Source organism: Homo sapiens, chromosome 11 (assembly GCF_000001405.40).
Source record: "Homo sapiens chromosome 11, GRCh38.p14 Primary Assembly".
Classification (NCBI taxonomy): domain Eukaryota; kingdom Metazoa; phylum Chordata; class Mammalia; order Primates; family Hominidae; genus Homo; species Homo sapiens.
Window position 1 is genome coordinate 83,228,177 of NC_000011.10, and position 21,017 is coordinate 83,249,193.

Consider the following 21,017-nt stretch of genomic DNA (forward strand, 5'->3'; position numbering starts at 1 on the left):
TTTTTAAAATGACCTATTAATTCATACTAAAATAGAAATCATCCCTCTCTCTCTCTTTTTTTTTTTTTTTTTTTTTTTTTTTTTTTTTTTTTTAGACCGGGTCTGGTTCTGTCACCCAGGTTGGAGTGCAGGTGGAGACCTCCTGGGCTCAAGTCATCCTCCCAAGCTCAGCCTCCCTAGTAGCTGGGATTATAGGCATGTGCCACCACACCCGGCTAATTTTTTGTCTTTTTAATAGAGATGGGGTTTCACCATGTTGGCCAGGCTGATCTTGAACTCCTGGCCTCAAATGATCCACTCGCCTTGGCCTCCTGAAGTGCAGGATTACAGGCGTGAGCCACCATGCCTGGCCTGATGGCAGGTGATTCTTACTAAACTCTTAGATTAAAATGATAGTAGGCTTATTAATATAATCGTGTTTGAATTGGACTTTATTTCACAAATACTTCTGGCAGTCCTCAGATCATATATTATGTTCCCATTGGTTAGGTTTTTAGCTTACTTTGTTTAATCCATAATGTATCTCAAAGTACAGAATCTAAGTGCTATGTGTACCAATGGTTTTATAAGCAAGGGAAATGAGAAGAGATGGGATGCAAAGGATGTTTTCTCCTACACAGAGAGAGGTCCACAGATTGGTGAGCTCTGTGCCCTCGATTTGGAGTATCTCACTCCATCCATTTCTGCTGGCCATCCAGGAGTTAAACTCTCTACTGTGAGATATGTGAATGGGGAGGAGGCTGAACATGTACCTAAAGTTTTTTTTGTTTTTTTTTGTTTTTTTTTTAATGTGGTTTCTTGGAGCAAAGCCACTGTATGAGTTTACTAGGGCTGATATAACAAAATGCTGCAGACTGGATGGCTTAAGCAACATAAATTTATTTTCTCAGAGTTCTGGAGGCTAGAAGTCTGAGATGAAGGTGGCAGCAGGTTTGGTTTTTTTTGAGGCTTCTCTCTTTGGCTTATAGATGACCTGCTGCCTTCTTGCTATACCCTCACATAGTCTTTCCTCTGTGCATGACCATATTTGTGTCTTGATGTCCTCCTCTTGTAAGTAAATTAGTCAAATTGGATTAGGGCCCACCCATATCACCTTATTTTTCTTTAGTTACCACTTTAAAGGCCCTATCTCCAAATACAGTTGGATTCTGAGGTACTGGAGGTTAGGACTTTAACATATGAATTTTGAGGGGAACACAATTCCTCCTATAACACATCCATTTTATAGCCCCCATTTCATATCCTACATATGTTTTTTATTGCTAATGCGCGTGTGTGGGGGTGTCATTTAGACACAGTAGGAAAAGATAGGCTCACTCATGGTGCTCATAGTACATCTTTGTGGGGACAGTAAATTAAGTTTCATTGATGGCTAGTTTTCAGCCTGTCCTAGTCATTTCTTCACCACTTGAACTGAAAGAGAAATGAGGGATCTGGAAGCAGGTTCTAAAGAGACTGTTCTACAACAACAAGGTGTTTTTAATATAGATGTTGGAAGTTGGGAAGGTGAAAGTGATGAGGAGCCAAAAGAGTTTGCTCTTCACCCTCTTTTCGTGAGTCCATCCATCAAGGACTCCTAGGGCTAGGAGTGGATCAGATGGTGTGGTGGAGGGGGATTATAAGTCGCAACAGCTGGAAAAGAGCATTGTTGGGGGACATTTACCTTTTCTTTTTTTCTTTTTAGTTTTTGTGGGTACATAGGTGTATATGTTTATGGGGTATGTGAGATGTTTTGATACAGACATGGAATGTGAAATATTCACATCATGGAGAATGGGGTATCCATCCCCTCAAGCATTTATCCTTTGTGTTATAAACAATCCAGTTACCTTCTTTTAGTTATTTAAAAATGTACAATTAAGTTATTATTGACTATAGTCACCCTGTTGTGCTATCAGATAGTCTCACTCTGTTGCCCAGGCTTGAATGCAATGGGGCGATCACGACTAACTGCAGCCTTGACCTCCTGGGCTCAGGGGATCCTCTCACTTCAGCCTCCTGAGTAGCTGGGACTACAGGCACATGCTACTATGCCTGGCTAATTTTTTGTATTGTTTGTAGAGACAGAGTTTTGCCATGTTGCCCAGGCTGGCCTCGAACTCCTGACTCAAGTGATCCATCCGCCTTGGTCTTCCAAAGTGCTAGGATTACAGGCATGAGCCACTGCATCCAGTCCCATGCTTTCTATTTTTTGGTACCCTTTAACCATCCCTACCTCCCTCTGACTCCCCTACTACCTTTCCCAACCTCTGGTAACCATCCTACTCTTTGTGTCCGTGAGATCAATTGTTTTGATTTTTAGATCCCACAAATAGGTGAGAACATGCAAAGTTTGTCTTTGTGTGCCTGGCTTATTTCACCTAACATGATGATCTCCAGTTCTATCCATGTTGTTGCAAATGACAAGATCTTATTCTTTTTTTTTTTTGAGACGGAGTCTCACTCGGTCGCCCAGGCTGGAGTGCAGTGGCGCGATCTCTGCTCACCGCAACCTATTTCTCCTGGGTTCAAGCGATTCTCCTGCCTCAGCCTCCCGAGTAGCTGGGACTACAGGTGTGTGCCACCATGCCCGGCTAATTTTTTGTATTTTTAGTAGAGACGGGGTTTCACTGTGTTAGCTAGGATGGTCTCGTTTTCCTGACCTCGTGATCCGCCCACCTCGGCCTCCCAAAGTGCTGGTATTACAGGTGTGAAACACTGCGCCCAGCTGATCTTATTCTTTTTTATGGCGGATTAGTACTGCATTGTGTATATGTACCACATTTTCTTTACCATTTATCTGTTGGTGGACACTTAGATTGCTTCCACATCTTAGCTATTGTGAACAATGCTGCAACAAACATAGGAGTGAAGATGTCTCTTTGATATACCCATTTCCTTTCTTTTGGGCATATACCCAGCAGTGGGATAGCTGGATTGTGTGGTAGCTCTATTTTTAGTTTTTTGAGGAACCTCCAAACTGTTCTTCATAGTGGTTGTACAAATTTACATTCTCACCAACAGTGTACGAGGGCTCCCTTTTCTCCACATCCTCACCAGCATTCGTTATTGCCTGTCTTTTGGATGTAAGTCATTTTAACTGGGGGGAGATGATATCTTATTTGTACTTTTGATTTGCATTTATTTGACTATCCATGATGTTGAGTGCCTTTTCATATATCTGTTTGCCATTTGTATGTCTTCTTTTGAGAAATGTCTGTTCAGATCTTTTGCCCATTTAAAAATCAGATTATTAGTTTTTCCTATAGAGTTGTTTGAGTTTCTTATGTATTTTGGTTATTAATCCTTTGTCAGGTGGGTAGTTTGCAAATATTTTCTCTCATTCTGTGGGTTGTCTCTTCACTTTGTTTCCTTTGCTGTGCAGAAGCTTTTTAACTTGATGTGATCCCATTTGTCCATGTTTGCTTTGGTTGCCTGTGCTTGTAGGGTATTGCTCAAAACATTTTTGCCCAGACCAATGTCCTGGAGAGTTTCCCCAATGTTTTCTTTTAGTAGTTTCATAGTTTGAGGTCCTAGATTTAAGTCTTTATTCCATTTTGACTCGATTTTTGTATATGGTGAGAGATAGGGGTCTAGTTTTTTTCTTGTGCATATGGATATCCAGTTTTTTCCAGCACCATTTATTGAAGAGACTGTCTTTTACCCAGTGTATGTTCTTGTATGTTCTTAGCATCTTTGTCAAAAATGAGTTCACTGTAGGTGTGTAGATTTGTTTCTGGTCTATTAGTCGGGCATGATGGTGTGTGCCTGTAATCCCAGCTATTGGTCTATGTGTCTTGTTTTTATGCCAGTATCATGCTGTTTGGTTACTATAGCCCTATAGTATAATTTGAAATCAGGTAATGTGATTCCTTCAGTTTTGTTCTTTTTGCTTAAGATAGCTTTGGCTACTCTGGGTCTTTTGTGGTTCCATATAAATTTTAGCTTTTTTTTTTTTTTTTTCTATTTCCGTGCAGAATGTCATTGGTATTTAGATAGGGATTGCAATGAATCTGTAGATTGTTTTGAGTAGTATGGACATTTTAACAATATTGATTCTTCCAGTCTATGAACATGGAATATCTTTCCATTTTTTGATGTCCTCTTCAGTTTCTTTCATCAGTGTTTTATAGTTTTCCCTATATAAATCCTTTACTTCTTTGGTTAATTCCTAGGTATTTAATTTTATTTGTGGCTATTATAAATGGGATTACTATTTTGATTTCCTTTTTGGATTGTTCACTGTTGGCATATAGAAATGCTACTGATTTTTGTAAGTTGATTTTGTGTTCTGCAACTTTACTGAATTTGCTTATCAATTCTAATAGGTTTTTTGTGTGGGGTCTTTAGGTTTTTCCAAATATAAGATTATATAATTTGTAAACTAGGATAATTTGACTTCTTCCATTCCAATTTGGATGCCCTTTGTTTCTTTCTCTTGTCTTATTGCTCTAGCTGGGACTTCTAGTACTGTGTTGAATAATAGAGATGAAAGTGGGCATCCTTGTGTTCCAGGTCTTAAAGGAAGTGCTTTCATATTCACTATTATACTAGCTGTGGGTCTGTCATATATGACTTTTATTATGTTGAATTTGTCCCTTCTATACCCAGTTTTTGAGGGTTTTTATTAAGAAGAGATGTTGAATTTTGTCAGGTGCTTTTATCAGCATCAATTGAAATGATCATATATGGTTTCTGTCCTTCATTCTATTGATATGTATCATATTGATTGATTTGCATATGTTGAATCATCGGTGTATCGCAGAGGTAAATCCCACTTGGTTATGATGAAATGATCTTTCTAATTTATTGTTGAATTTGGTTTGCTAGTATTTTGTTGATGATTTTTGCATGAATATTCATCAGAGATATTGGCTTGTAGTTTTATTTTTTGATGTGTCTTTGTCTGATTTTGGAGTCAGGGTAATACTGGCCTTGTAGAATGGATTTGGAAGTATTCCCTTCCCTTCTATTTTTCAGAATAGTTTGAGTAGGATTGGTATTAGTTCTTCTTTAAATGTTTGATAGAATTCAGCAATGAAGCCATCGGGTCTGGGGTTTTTTTTTTTTTTTTAACTGGGAGACTTTTTATTATGGCTTTGATATCATTACTCATTATTGGTCTGTTCAAGCTTTGGGTTTCTTCCTGGTTCAATCTTGGTAGGTTGTTTGTGTCTAGGAATTTATTTCTTCTAGATTTTCCAATTTATTGGTATATAGTTACTCATAGTAGCCACTAATGATCCATTGAATTTCTGCAGTATCAGTTGTAATGTCTCATTTTCATTTCTGATTTTATTTATTTGGATCTTCTCTCTTTTTTTCTTAGTCTGGATAAAGGTTTGTCCATTTTGTTTAACTTTTCAGAAAAAGCCCAGCTGTTTGTTTCATTGATCTTTTGTATTGTTTTCATTTTAATTTCATTTGTTTCTGCTCTGATCTTTATTGTTTCTTTTCTTTTACTAATTTTGTATTTGGCTTGCTCTTGGTTTTCTTGTTAAGATGCATCATTAGATTTTGTTTTGTTTTGTTTTGTTTTGTTTTTGAGATGGAGTCTCACTGTGTCACCCATGCTGGAGTGCAGTGGTGCCATCTTGGCTCATTACAACCTCCACCTTCCGGGTTCAAGCAATTCTCCTGACTCAGCCTCCCAAGTGGCTGGGATTACAGGCATGTGCCATCATGCCCAACTGATTTTTGTATTTTTAGTACAGACAAGGTTTTACCATGTTGGCCAGGCTGTTCTCGAACTCTTGACCTCAGGTGATCCACCCGCTTTGGCCTCCCGAAGTGCTGGGATTACAGGCATGAGCCACGGTGCCCGGCCTCATTAGATTTTTTATGTGAAGTTTTTTCTCTTTTTTGATGTAGGCACTTATAACTACAATATTTCCTCTTAGTACTGCTTTTGCTCTATCTCATAGGTTTTTGTATGTTGTGTTTCCATTATCATGTGTTTCAAGAAATTTTTCAACTTCCTTCTTAATTTTTTCATTGATCCTTCAGTCATTCAGAAGTACATTAAGACATTACCCTTTTCTTGGGTACCATCTATATGTTTCTACTGTACTAAAATTGGTCATATAAAAGTTGACATCTGTTTATAATTTAATTCATGTTTCTCACATTTTATCATACTGCTTTTTCCTTTAGTTTTAATTTCATTTAGTAGATAAGCTGTGGTATTTATTATTGAGGCATTCTTTTTAGTTATTTAATAATTGTTTAGAACTATGACTTCTCCTTTTTAAACTTGGTCTTAAATCTTAATTATTTCAAGTCATTTCTTAAAAATTTCTAACAACTATATAATTTTTCTTGTTCCTTTTAAAACATTGGTCAAATTAGTCACATATCCTAATCAATATTCAATAAAAATCTTGGGTAAAATTCTCTTATTGCATTTCATTGTAGATACATTACTTAACCTCCCTCCCTCCTGTTTTTAAACATTTCCCATATGATAAAATGAAATGTTGGGCTAAATTCATTCTGTCTCGTAAAATTCAGCATTATCCATGCTCATAAATATGATTTTTTGACTCTTAATGACAGAAAAGATCAATATGTTGCCATTTTTGTCTAAAGTGGGGTTTTTAATAGAGGTCTGAGAAATCCTGAAGTTTCTGTGTTAGTGGGTTCTGGATAGGCTGTAGGAGAGAGAGAAGCCCCAGACTCTGCAGAAGCCAGCTTGTAATTTGGCAGATGGCTCTGAGGCAGAGGACAACAGAACCAGAGTTCTTAGAGACTTGCCACCTGGGCTGTAGGACTGTAGTGATAGGGTTGTTTAGTCCCTTGATATTCCTCTGTGTCCTCTCTTTTGCCAGTAATGGAGGTGGGTTCGCTTTTTAAAGCACCAAATTAACACCCAAAGTTCCTGCTCTTTGATTTATTTTGCAAGGTCATGTATACATATTCAGCACCAACCATGTGCCTGTACTGTGAGCCAGAATGAGATCTGGACCTTACTGTTAAAGAGTTACACAATTATACCATAAAAGAACTAGAGATTTCTTTTTAAGATAGGATGCAATTAATGGCCAAAAATAATTAGGTTCTTAAAATACATGTCATAGGAGTTTGGGAATAGGAATTGAGGGATGGAAGAAGTTGCTAAGGATCAAATTATTGAGGAGCTATTCATAGGGATTTGGTAATAATACCTGATGTATATATACTACTTAGTAGAGTGAAAAGCTCTTATCACATTTAATACTTATTGCAGTTTTATAAAGCAGCAGTGTGCTTTGCTTATAAAACAATCGTCTATGTTAAAGATGAGGAAATTGATGTTTAGAGAAGTCAGGTGGCTTGACTGAGGTTAGATATATAGCTAGTAAGAGCAGAGCTAAGATTGCATTTTTTAAAAGTATTCATTCACTCATCAACTCTTTAGACATTGGTTGAGGGTCTGTAAGTTGCAGCCACTTGCTGTCGTCTGAGGATATGAAGATTATAGCCCTGTCCTCACATCTTATTGTTTAATAGACCTAAACTCAAGTCTTTCTTTTAAGTCTATTCAGTTTGTTTTCTTCAGCTTCCTTGAGTTTCAAGATGGATGAAGAAGAATAGTTACAGGTTAAATGAGCACATTGTTGAGTGATTGGCTTTAGGTGGGAAGACACATAAGCAGAGTTGTGAAGGTGAAAATAAAGACAGCATGTGTTATGAGGTGAAGATTTGGACAAAGGTGGTAAACAGTTTAGGTAATTAAGTGTGGCTTTACAGGCCTATAAATTTTGAGTTGTAAGAATCAGAAGAATACATATATATCATACATCTATCATATAAATATATGCTGAAGCAAGACTTTTTGAAGTCTGTGTAGGTCCTTATGGTTAGAATGTGCTCACATTCTTGTGAAATACAAGATTGGTTAGGAGCTATTTATAGCAGGAGATAAGCACTGGATAGTATTAGAAAAGCCTGGATTCTAGTTTCAAACTACTTTTTACTAGCTGTGTGATTTTAAATAAATACATAAATAACCTTTTTGAGTTTCAGCTTTTATATCCGTGTGTAAAATTATCTGTGTGGGGCCTGAGCACAGTTGATTAAATGTTTGTCTAATGAATCAGTAAGTGAAATAGAGAAAATAATATTTGCCCAATGTACTTTTGCCAGTTACTGCAAGGATCAATACTTAACTAAGTACTCTATAATGGTACTGTCCAAAATTTTAGAAAATTGTTACTAATAACTAACTTTTTTGTGTGTAATTCCTGTTCTTTTTCCTTTTTTTGAACAGCTGCTGGACAAGGCCACATAGAGTGTTTGCAGTGGTTAATTAAAATGGGAGCAGACAGTAATATTACCAACAAAGCAGGGGAGAGACCCAGTGATGTGGCAAAGAGGTATAAATCTCTGTCTTCTTTACTCCTTTCTTTTCTCTTTAAAGTTTTGCGTATACTTTTTTGGACTCAAAAATCTCTGAAGTTTTAATGGAATTTTAGAGGACTCAATCAAATACAGATGGAATGACAATTTTCAAGCTGAATTGACAGCTGCCATTATATCAGCTTTTCTTTTTCAAGCAGTAATTCTCCACTGGGAGGTAATATTTTCCCGTTTCCTCATGGGAGGGGTCTTTGGAAATGTTGGGGAAGGTTGTCACAATGACCAGAGACCTTCACCAACTGGAGGTCCGGTCTGGGAATGCTAAATGTTCTGCAGTGCTCAGAACAGTAATTCATGATTTGTCCCATCCAAATGCCTGTAGCATTCCCTGTTAAGAAATGCTGTGTGATAAAAATAAATAGTCAACATTAATAATAGAAAAATAAGTGACTTGGATTTTGAAACATATTTTGCAATTTACATCCGAATTAAATATAGCATGTATTTTTAAACCTAGCCAGCTCATTCAGGTTAGGTTCTCAAGAAATATTTACTCCATCTATTTGTTCGTTTGGTTGTTCTTTCATTCAGCTTCCCGTATACTTACCATGTTCCAAGTTCTGTGATTAGTGGTAGAAATACAAAGGGGAGAAAACACAGTCACCGCCCTCAAGGAGTTTACAGTATTGTGGAGAGACAAATATGCAAATAAAATTCTTATTAATTCTAATCATTATACTGTATTACATGGTATGTGTAAGGTACACTAAGAATATAGAAAAAAATCTTTCTGTTTGAAAGTTGTAAGGGAGAAACTTTAATACAGAGGAAGGTAAAAGTTATGAAGGAAACTGCATGGGGACAGAATTTAGATAGAGGTGAAAGAAAAAACTTTTCTTTTGAGGAAGCAACATTTCTGTTGACACTTGTAAGCGTAAGTGTAAATGTAAGGAGGAGTTGTAAGACAACACCTTATATGTTTGAAGAACTGCATGTGGATTAGAAGGCTGGAATCTAAACTAGGAGTGTGGGCTAACAATGGCAGATGAGTCTTGACAGTATGCTCTGGTCCAATCATTTGCTAAGTTGCCATGCAACTTTTGTTTGTGAGCTCATGTTCCCTAAAATTTTGTTTATGGAATTTCTTTGATGACTTGGAGTGTGGTTTTGTTGTACCATGTACCTGGGATCATTGTCAGCTCAAGTCTATTTTATTGGTTTAAAATGGCTTTATCAAGGTATAATTGACACACAATAAAATGCATATATTTGTACGGTACAACTGATGAGTTTTGATGTATGCGTATCCTGTGAAACCATTGCCACAATTAAGATAGTGAACATATTCATCACCGTCAAAGTCTCCTGCCACTTTATAACCTCTCTCCCTTTGACTGCTCCCCAGTGTGCCCAAGTAAACGCTGATCTGCTTCCTGTCACTGTAGATTGGTTTGCATTTTCTAGAGTTTTATATAAATGGAATCATACAATATATATTTATGTCTGGCTTCTTTCACTCAACGTAATTATTTTGAGATTCATCTGTGTGTATTAGCTGTTCATTTCCTTCTTACAGCTGAGTAGAATTCCATAGTATTCCATAATTCAATTATCCACTCACAGGTTGAAGGACATCTTGATTGTAGTTCATTTTCTTCTAACAGCTGAGTAGAATTCCATAGCATTCCATAATTCGATTATCCACTCACAGGTTGAAGGGCATCTTGATTGTATCATTTTTTGGTGGTTATGAATAAAGCTGCTGTAAACATTACTATACAGGTTTTTGTGTTAACATGTTTTCAATTCTTTGGTAAGTCTATGAGTAGGATTGTTGGGCCATATGCCAAGTGTATGTTTAACTTTATAAGAAACTGCCGAAGTGCCTTCCAAAGTGGCCATACAGATTTGCATTTCTAGGGGCTGGGTGCAGTGGCTCACACCTGTAATCCCAGCATTTTGGGAGGCCAAGGCAGTGGATCACTTGAGGTGAAGAGTTCGAGACCAGTCTGGCCAACATGGTGAAACCCTGTCTCTACTAAAAAGGAAAAGTTCAGGCCGGGCATGGTGGCTCATGCCTGTAATCCCAGCACTTTGGGAGGCCGAGGCGGGCGGATCACCTGAGGTCAGGAGTTTGAGATCAGGCTGACCAACATGGAGAAACCCTGTGTCTACTAAAAATACAAAATTAGCCAAGCATGGTGGTGCTTGCCTGTAATCCCAGCTACTCAGGAGGTTGAGGCAGGAGAATTCCTTGAACCTGGGAGGTGGAGGTTGCTGTGAGCCGAGATTGTACCATTGCACTCCAGTCTGGGCAACAAGAGCGAAACTCTGTCTCCGAAAAAAAAAAAAAAATTCAAAAAATTAGCCTGGTGTGGTGGCGTGCACCTGTAGTCCCAGCTACTACTTGGGAGGCTGAGGCAGGAGAATTGCTTGAAGCTGGTAGGCAGAGGTTGTGGTGAGCCTAGATCGCACCACAGCACTCCAACCTAGGCGACTGAGCTAGACCCTCAAAAAAAAAAATTTTGCATTTCTGTCAGCAATGGATGTCAATTTCTGTTGTTCTACATTCTCACCATCATTTGGTATTGTCAGGGTCTTTTTTTAATTCTAGTAATGAAATAGGTATGTAGTGGTAGCTCACTGTGGTTTTAATTTGCATTTTCTAATGAAAAATGATTTTGAGCATCTTTTAAATATACATACTTGCCATCTGTATATTTTCTTTGATGAAGTGATTATTCAGATCTTTTGCCCACTTTAAAAAATTGAATTGTTTTCTTGATGTTGAGTTTTAAAGGTTCTTTGTATATTCTGGATACTAGTTCTTTTTCAGATATATACTTTGCAAAGATTTCCCTTTTTTACCGGTTGTATCTCGTTTTTTCATTCTCTTAATGTCTTTGAAGAGCAAAATTTCTTACTAATTTATCCTTTTATGTATTATGATTTTGGTGTCATATCTAAAGAAGTCTGATTAACACAAAGTCATAAAAATTTTCTTTTATGTTTTCTTTTAGAAGTTAGTGTTAGCTTTTATATTGAGGTCTGTGATCATTTTGAGTTAATTTTTGTATATGATATGAAGTATGAGTCCAAGTTCTTTTTTTGCATATGGATATCCAGTTCTAGACTATTTGTTTAAAAGACTATCCTTTCTCCACTGCCTTTGTGCCTTTGTCAGATCAGTTCTTGATGTATGTGTGGGCTTAATTCTGAACTATTTTATCCATTGGTCTATTTGTATATTTTTGTATCAGCATCAAATAGGTGATTGAATACTATGGGTATATCTGAAGTTTTCCATAATTTCTGGTCCACATTTTTTTCTCATGCACCAAAATGCTTGGTGTGGGTGTAGGGTTATTTTAGAGATAACTTTGAATCTAGCATAAAGTAAGCACTCAGTAAATGACAGCTGTTAAATTACAACCTAGTCGTAGACTTAATGAATTCTATAAACCTTACAACTTCCTGCATATGTTTATTACTATGTCTTTAATGATTTGCAGTATCTGGTAGGAGGTAATGTGTGTGTTTGGTTATGTAAGTATGAGAAAATAGGATTTAAGGTTTTTATGTTTAGTGAGTAATTCTTCAAGTTGTAAGAAAATATATTAAAAATTCCAGTTAGCAAAATTGCGGAAAATATGCAGGTTGCATGCAATCACAACAACTCCAAAACCAAGAGTACATTACTGGAACGTTCACAGAGATGCAGGAAAGATTAAGGAGAATTAGAAAACATGAATGGAAAGGTCATTATTTTTTCATTAAATTTCAAAGCCGTACCAAATGCTTTGGCTTGAGGAAGGGTGAAGATAGAGGGGGCTAGAGCTATATTAATAGTTAGCCCTAAAACTGGAATGAAAATGAATTCTATAATCTAAATTAGGCCAAGAAAAGGCAATAACTGTAGGTAATCAAGGAGGGTGGTTCTGGGCCTTCTATTCAGTTGAGCAGCTCTGCTTGAGAGCATACTACATATTCCTTTGGTATTGGATCTCCATTCCCAGTGTATTTTTGCCAATAAAAATTATGGAATCAGTGTTTAATATGAATAATTGTCCGTAGTGCCAAGTAACTGAGTTTCTTACATAGTTGAATATATGTCAAATTGTCACTGACCTTCAGATTTTGGCTCCTTGGCTGGTGAGTGGATTGATGGCAGGGTGTACAGAGTGTAATCCCCTAAGTTAAGTGCAAGCTGCAGTTTCAGTTTGAAGAAGATTGTGGATCTGGTTAGTTATTGATTCTTTTCTACAGGTTTGCCCATTTGGCAGCAGTGAAGCTGTTAGAGGAGCTACAGAAATATGATATAGATGACGAAAATGAAATTGATGAAAATGATGTGAAATATTTTATAAGACATGGTGTTGAGGGAAGCACTGATGCCAAGGATGATTTATGTCTGAGTGACTTGGATAAAACAGATGCCAGAAGTAAGTATGCTGCCTCTGTTGTGATTTATCCTTTCAGAAATACCACAGCCACTTTTTACCACAAATTTGGAAACTATTCTAAAGACAAATACTGCCTACAAAGTAAAATAATTTGATATTTTTGGAGGAACTAGAACTAATATAAGTTTTTGTACTAGGGTTGTTGAACATATAAAAAGTATAAGACATAATCTCTGTCCCTCAGGGGGTGGAAAGTTATATAAGAAAATACTTAAGTATTTTCTTCAGTGGATCAAGGAAACAGGGCAGGGAAAGAGACATCTCAAGGATTTCCATGGTTAGTTGGCAAATGATTGTTATAGATAATAATAGCAACAAATATTTATTGTCTACTATGTGCCAGACACTGTTGTAGTTATTGAAGTAATGGTGAACAATACAAAGGAACTTCATTCGAATGGTGGTAGTCAGGAGGGAGGGTGATAAATAATTGATAAGAAAATAGATATATAAAGTAAATAGAGTAGAGTGGTGCTATAGATAAGAAAGTCATTAGGCCTCTCTGAGGTGGTGATGTTTGAGCAGAGACCTGAGTGATGAGAATGAGTCATATTAAGATCTTGGAAGAACGTGCCAGCAGAGGGAGCAGTGCACGTAAAGGCCATTATGTAGCATTGAGAATGGTCAGTGTGGCTTGAGTAGAATCCCTAAGGAAGTGGCGACAGATTGGTCTGAAAGGTAAGCAGGGACCCAGTCAGATCATGTAGGGCCTAATAAGGATTTTAGATTTCGATTTTTATTTGTTCATTTTTCCCCTTTTTTCACTACAAAATCTCAGCATATAGATTTTATTTTAAATAGCCATTGTTGGGATTCAGGGTGGGGAATGATGTGATCTGATTCACATTTAAAAACAGTATCACTCTACCTGTTGGGTGGGTGATAGACTGGGAGGTGGAAAAGAGCATAGCATTTCAGATGGGGTATGAATTAGGTGGGAAGAGAACATACTCCATCTAACAATATAAGGTTGGATGAAGTTCCTGATATAATTATATCCTGATGCCAAGGATACTAAATTAGAATTGTACAAGAGCAGACGTAGAATATCTGCACAGATTTCCTGGGCTCCTAGAGTTCCTGATGTAGGCCTGTAACTACCAGTGATATTGGACATCTCCATTCTTGTTTTGCTTCCACCTTTTCATATTAGAGGCTTTCATCACCATTTAAGAAGAGCTTACATTAACATTCTATGTATTCCCTTTAAGCAATATTTATATATATATCCTGGTTCTTGAAAAAAATCAGCATCAGTAATACCATACTTTGTTGGGAAGATAGAGTGAAAGCCAAGCCAAGATCTTGTTTGCCTTGACTGTTTTTGCCTCCAGATTTCTGGTGTTGTGGAAAGCCCATTTTCCTTCATAGGGCAAGAGTGGAAGCAGGGAAATCAGTTAGGGGGCTATCGCTATAGTTCAGGAGAGAGTTGTTTATGGCTTGGACTGGAGTGGAGATGATGGGGATAATGAGAAGTGGTGAGATTTGGTGTATTTAGAAGAGAGAAAGATGATAGGATTTGCTGATAGATGTGGCTATGAGGTGTTAGAAAAAGAGGGTAATCAAGGATGACAGATTTCTGGCCTGGGGAATTCGGTGAATGGTAGTTAAGTTTTTTTTTTTTTTTTTTAGATGGAGTCTCACTCCGTCGCCAGGCTGGAGTGCAGTGGCACGATCTTGGCTCACTGCAACCTCCGCCTCCTGGGTTCAGGCAGTTCTTCTGCCTCAGCCTCCCGAGTAGTGGTGACTACAGGCACGTGCCACCACAGCCAGCTAATGTTTGAATTTTTAGTAGAGATGGGTTTCACCATGTTGATCAGGCTGGTCTTGAACTCCTGACCTTGTGATCCACCCGTCTTGGCCTCCCGAAGTGCTGGGATTACAGGCGTGAGCCACTGTGCCCGGCCGCACCACGTTTTCTTTATCCGGTCTTCTGTTGATGGGCATTTAGGTTGATTCCATGTTTTTGCTGTGTGAATAGTGCTGCGATGAACATGTGTGCATGTGTCTTTATAGTTTGAATATAGTGTGAATATAGTATGAATATAGTGTGATATATATTCCTTTCTGTTTTGAGTTCTTTGAGAAATCGCCAAACTGCTTTCCACAATGGTTGAACTACTTTACACTCCCACCAGCAGTGTATGAATGTTCTTTTCTCCACAACCTCCCCAGCATCTGTTGTTTTTTGACTTTTTAATAATAGCCATTCTGACTGATGTGAGATGGCATTTCATTGTGGTTTTGATTTGCATTTCTCTAATGATTCCTGATGTTGAGCATTTTTTCATATGCTTGTTGTCCATGTGTATGTCTTCTTTTGAAAAGCATTTCTTCTCTGTGAGGATTAAAATGTGTAAGGTACTTAGTGTAGTGTCTCGACATCACAGACACTGCATAAATACGTGATTTTTATTGTTTTCATTGGAAATTTCCTCTTTTGTTGAATTGAAATCTTTCTTCCTGGAGCTAATTCCAATTAATCTTAGTTCTTACCTCTGAGGACCCCATAGAACAGGCTTTACGAAACACAGACTTTCAAATATTAATGAAATTATTATATAAGCTAAATACTCACTGCTCTTTCAGTCTTTTCTGACATTTTTTATCTTAATCCCCTCTATCTTCTTACTAGTGGTTATGGTGGTTCCCAAACCTGTCTGCCCTTGAGAATTGTCTGAGGAGACATTTTTATGTATGTATGTATTTATTTATTTATTTATTTTGAGACGGAGTCTTGCTCTTGCCCAGGCTGGAGTGCAGTGGCGCAATCTCGGCTCACTGCAAGCTCCGCCTCCCGGGTTCACGCCATTCTCCTCCCTCAGCCTCCTGAGTAGCTGGGACTACAGGCACTCGCCACCACGCCTGGCTAATTTTGTTTTGTATTTTTAGTAGAGACGGGGTTTCACCATGTTAGCCAGGATGGTCTCTATCTCCTGACCTCGTGATCTGCCTGCCTCGGCCTCGCAAAGTGCTGGGATTACAGGCGTGAACCACCTCGCCTGGCTGCCCTTTTTTTTTTTTTTTTTTTTTTTTTTTTTATTGAGACAAAGTCTCACTCTGTTGCCCAGGCTGGAATGCAGTGGCACGACCTCGGCTCACTGCATCCTTCATCTCCTGGGCTCAAGTGGTACTCCTGCCTCAGCCTCCCGAGTAGCTGGATTACAGGCATGTGCCACCACATCCAGCTAATTTTTGTATTTTTAGTAGAGATGGGGTTTCACCATGTTGGCCATACTGGTCTTGAACTCCCAACCTCAAGTGATCCGCCCGCATTGGCCTCCCAAAGTGCTGGGGTTATAGGCGTGAGCCACTGCTCCTGGCCGAGAACCTTTTATTAAGTACATATTCTTGAACTTATAGGTCTGGAATGGGGCTCAAGCACATACATTTTTAAAAAGCATCCCATTTGATTCAGGTATATGCAGTTTAGAACCTGCAGCTCTAACCTGTTGATAGATAAATCATTGGTGTTAGGAACAAGAGGCTGTGATTTGCTAAGCTGGTCCTGTAAAGCAGTTTCTCAACTTCTGTACTCTTGACATTTTGGGCCAGATAATTATTTTGTTGAGGCAAGCTTTTCTGTGTGCACTGTGAGATGTTTAGTAGCATCCTGAGCCTTCACTTACTAGATGCCAGTAGCACCTCCCTGTTCCACACTCTCAAGCTGTGACAAGCAAAACTTATTCAGAGGTTGCCAAATGACCCTTGGCAGAGAACCACTGCCATAAAGGATGGAGAATTCATAGTTCTAATAGTTGGAGAATAGTTCAAAATATCTCTCAATGTACTTCCTTCTCTTACTATTCTCTTGCATAGGTACTACAAGTGACCAATCACAAAATTTGTGGCTGGTACTTTAAAATCAAGTATATTTCAGTTTTTCTAATTTTCTGTTACATAGTAGATTGCACGTGGTCCTGTAATCCACCATTAGTCCTAAAACACTGCTAGTCTTTTTTTTTTTGAGACGGAGTCTTGCTCTGTTGTCCAGGCTGGAGTGCAGTGATGTGGTCTCGGCTCACTGCAGTCTCTGCCTCCCGGGTTCAAGTGATTTTCCTGCCTCAGCCTCATGAGTAGCTGGGATTACAGGCACGTGCCACCACACCGGCTAATTTTTGTATTTTTAGTAGAGACGGGGTTTCACCATGTTGGCCAGGCTGGTCTCGAACTCCTGACCTCAGGTGATCCACCCGCCTCGGCCTCCCAAAGTGCTGGGATTAAGGCGTGAACCGCCATGCCTGGTCAATACTGCTAGTCTTTTAAAACCTTCTTGTTCATAGCGTTAATAGTCATAACAACCTGATACATGCTCCAGTAGCAGGGAAAGAATCCTCCATTTAGGTATTCCATTGCGTGCTCATTTTAGTATTCTGTTACTGATATTTATCCTTCTTTGTATATACCAACCTTCCTCCACCCCCCTCTCCAAACCATACAGACACTAGTCTAGAGGAAGAATATGCTCAAGAATACCAGCACCCAGTGGACACATGAGCTGTTATATGTCTAACTAGGTTCCTACTCAACTCTGTCTTGCAGTGAGAGCTTACAAGAAAATTGTAGAATTGAGACACCTCCTGGAAATTGCCGAGAGCAACTATAAACACTTGGGAGGCATAACAGAAGAAGATTTAAAGCAGAAGAAAGAACAGCTTGAGTCTGAAAAGTAATGTCCTTAAAACTTTAATGATTTGTTTTTAAATACCTCTCTAAATGCCATGTGAGGGTTTGTTGATCAGCAACTTTTACTTTCATCTTGCCAAAGGGTGTTAGGTTCCATCCTGTTTTTCTCCTAAGCCCTTAGATGACAAAGGAGTTAAAATTTTTAAATAATTGTGATAAAATACACATAAAATTTACCATCTTAACCATTTTTTAAGTATACGGTTCAGTAGTGTTAAGTACATTCCCATCGTTGTGCAACCAATCTCCAGAACTCTCATCTTGCAAAACTGACATTCTAACATAGTCTCTGAACATTTTCATCAGGCTACACTGCCCATTCATAAATCTGAGACTAGGTCTTGTGTTCACTGATTATAGTACCCAACAGAGAATGCTCTTGCATCTAGAGGCAGTGAGCAAGTGCATGGTTGTCTCTGCCTTTCACTTCCTGTACCCTAAATTGGCTCTCTGGACAATGGGTACCTCTCTAATAGCAGTTGGCTCTCTATATCTGTGGGCTCCACATCATGGATGCAACCAAACTTGGATAGATAATAATCAGGAAAAAGAAATAGGATGGTTGTGTCTGTGTTGAACATTTGTAGACTTTTTTCCTTTGTTATTATTCCATAAATAATATGCTACAACAACTTATTGTATACTACTATAATAAGTAATCTAGAGATGATTCAAATTATACAGGAGAATGCATATAGATTATATGCAGATACGTATGTACTATACCATTTTAATGTAAGGGACTTAGCATCCGTGGGTTTTGGTGTCTGGAGCTTCCTGGAACCAGTTCCTCTTTGATACTGAGAGACTACTGTAGTTAATAGCTGCTGGGATAGAGGATGCCTCGAGCTTCTTTCATCCTACTGTCTCTCTGCTTGTCTGTCTATCTGCTTTCCAGAATGGACAGGGAGCAGAGAGAGACAGGAGAGGGAACTTTGGATTTAATCAAACATGGGTCCAGAAAGAGAACCACACATGGATTCCCTTCTTTGTCCTCTGCTTTTCCTGCCTTTTCCTTTGGTCGTGTCTTGTTCCGTCACACTCTTAGAACTGCCTGTTTCCCTTTCCTCCACCTGTTTCCAAATCTAGTTCTGAAAGAGGTCTGCTAACTGTATTCAGAGTAACATCTAAATCTTTGATAAGGATTAATGTGGTTAAGCTGACATTTGGCTCTAGTTTAAAAGAAAGAAAATAAAAAATAATATAAGGATTAATGTGTCATTCTTCCATGGATGGATACTTGGGAATTTAAACAGATGGCAAAACATTAGGCCAAAATACTCTTTTTTCTGTTTTTTTCCCTGCTACCCTATTAACTGAAACTACCTCTTGATGTGATTTTAGACACCAGGAAGCTGTGGCAGACTGATTTTTTTGTTTTTGTTTTAAATCAGGAGCTTTCTTGGTATCTCACAAATCATATCATATAGGTGGCTGTCCACTGCCTCTATACTGTTTGAAGTGTTTTGAGATGTAGATTTTTTTTTTTTTAGTGTTAGCCTTGGTCTAAGAGCCTAGCTGAAAGTTCTTAGATTCCTTGTAGTCTAGAAAAGTACCTCATGGTGGAAAAATTATTTCCTACTAATGACTTTTTTTTTTGTATTTTTAGTAGAGATAGGGTTACACCGTGTTGGCCAGGCTGGCCTCAAATTCCTGGCCTCAAGTGATCCACCTGCCTCCGCCTCCCAAAGTGCTGGGGTTACAGACGTGAGCCACCGCGCCTGGCCTCCCTTTTATTCTTTAAATGATTCTATCACATTGGCTTCTGTTTTTCTTGTACTTCATCAGGCATCCTTCTACTTTAGGGCCTTTGCACTTGTTCCTTTTGTCTGGAATGCTTTTCCTCTAATGTCTACAGGGTTATCTCTCTTATTTCCTTCAGGGCTTGGCTTAGAAGCCCCCTTCTCAATAAAGCCTTCCCTAGCCACTGTGTATGAAATGTTAAGCCCCTCTTCCACAACATTTTATACTACTCTTTCCTGCTTTATTTTTGTTTTCTCCTTTAGCACTTATTACCTTCCAACATACCATATATTTTACTTATTTATTTTCCTTGTTGTCTGCATATCTCTATTACTAAAGTAAGGTCCAGGAAGGCAGATTTTGGGCCTTTTGTTCACCACTGTATCCCCAATACCTAGGTCAGTGCTCATTCTTAGTAGACCCTTAATACATATTTGTTGAATAAATGATTTCTTTGTTTTATTTGCCTTAAATACAATGTATGAATGCTTTCCACTACTAAAAGTAATTATTAGTTGACATTGATGATTGATTTTTAAAAAATTTTGTTTTTGATAGGACCATCAAAGAACTGCAGGGCCAGCTGGAGTATGAACGACTACGTAGAGAAAAATTAGAATGTCAGCTTGATGAATATCGAGCAGAAGTTGATCAACTCAGGGAAACACTGGAAAAAATTCAAGTCCCAAACTTTGTGGCTATGGTTGGTGTCCTTTTTAATACATTTATTTTTCTCAAGAAGTATATACAAGAGTGGCCAAGAGTACAAGCTTTGGGCTGGGGCTCTTTGGACTTGAATCCTGGCTATAGTCTTTTTTGATTTGGGCTACTCATTTAACCTTTTTGTGCCTCAACTATAAACTGGAGATGATAACTTATACTTTCTAGAGCTGATGACAGGATTAAAGGAATACACACACACACACACACACACACACACACACACACACACTCTATATGTAACTATAACTTTCTAGATACATACACACATCTGTCTATCTATCTTCAAACAGCAGCCTAGTTCATAAGTATTATTGTTAACATTGTACCATAGAAGGAGAAAATGTTTTCATAAGTAATCAATCAGAATTCTAAGACAGCTAGAGGATATGTATATTTTAATATTCTAAATAACCAAAATAAAGTGCTTTGAATGGAATCCATATTTTCTTTCCATAGGGAAGTTTCTTCATCAATCATCATGGATGAATTAATTCTGTTTGAGGCTTGTGTCACCTCAAATCTGATCTATTAATATTATAGAATCTTCCTGGCTTCTTTTTATTTTGCACAAACTAGTCATTGGTCTCTTTAATAACCACTTTAAAAATATTAAAATAATAAAACATGTTTGTTGTATAGTGTTAAAAACAAGATAGATGTTCCTTCTGACACTAAGTTCCACTCTCCAGAGGAAGCTATTGTTAACAATTTAGTACATACCATATTAGACAAAATTCTATTTATCTGCAAACATGTATGTGTATTTCTATGCATATGCAAATATAACCACTTCCTCAGTTTCTCTGGGTTTTGGTGTCTCACCAGTGGTTGATTTTCCAAGAAATATAATTAACTATAATAATTAATCTATTCTCTTCATTTTGCAACCCTCTTCTTGTACGATCTTTAGCACATGGGGAAAATTTAGTATCAGAGAGGCCAGCTGTACAGTCATGTGTTGGTTAGAGGGCTAGAGGACACAGCACCATTTATAACTCACTGCTTCCAATCAAATCTGTTACCCCTCCACCTTGTGGCAGGGACTCTGTGACTCCCAGTCTCCTCAAAAGTAGAAAGGTAAGTTGT

General features: G+C 38.1%; 1 protein-coding gene across 5 annotated transcripts in view; it reads left to right on the forward strand.

The window, feature by feature from the left end:
* The window catches only part of ANKRD42 (ankyrin repeat domain 42), a 70,571-nt gene that overhangs the window by 34,465 nt on the left and 15,089 nt on the right, over positions 1 to 21,017 (forward strand). For 3 of the 5 annotated variants that reach the window (NM_001433541.1, NM_001300972.2, NM_001300973.2), the window contains exons 8-11: positions 8,228 to 8,333; positions 12,583 to 12,758; positions 17,322 to 17,448; positions 19,767 to 19,911. In NM_001433541.1, coding sequence (NP_001420470.1) covers positions 8,228 to 8,333; positions 12,583 to 12,758; positions 17,322 to 17,448; positions 19,767 to 19,911 — 554 coding nt within the window. Of the gene's footprint in view, positions 1 to 8,227; positions 8,334 to 12,582; positions 12,759 to 17,321; positions 17,449 to 19,766; positions 20,796 to 21,017 lie in introns of those variants that run through there. The other 2 variants (NM_001300975.2, NM_182603.4) reach the window with 2 other exon arrangements.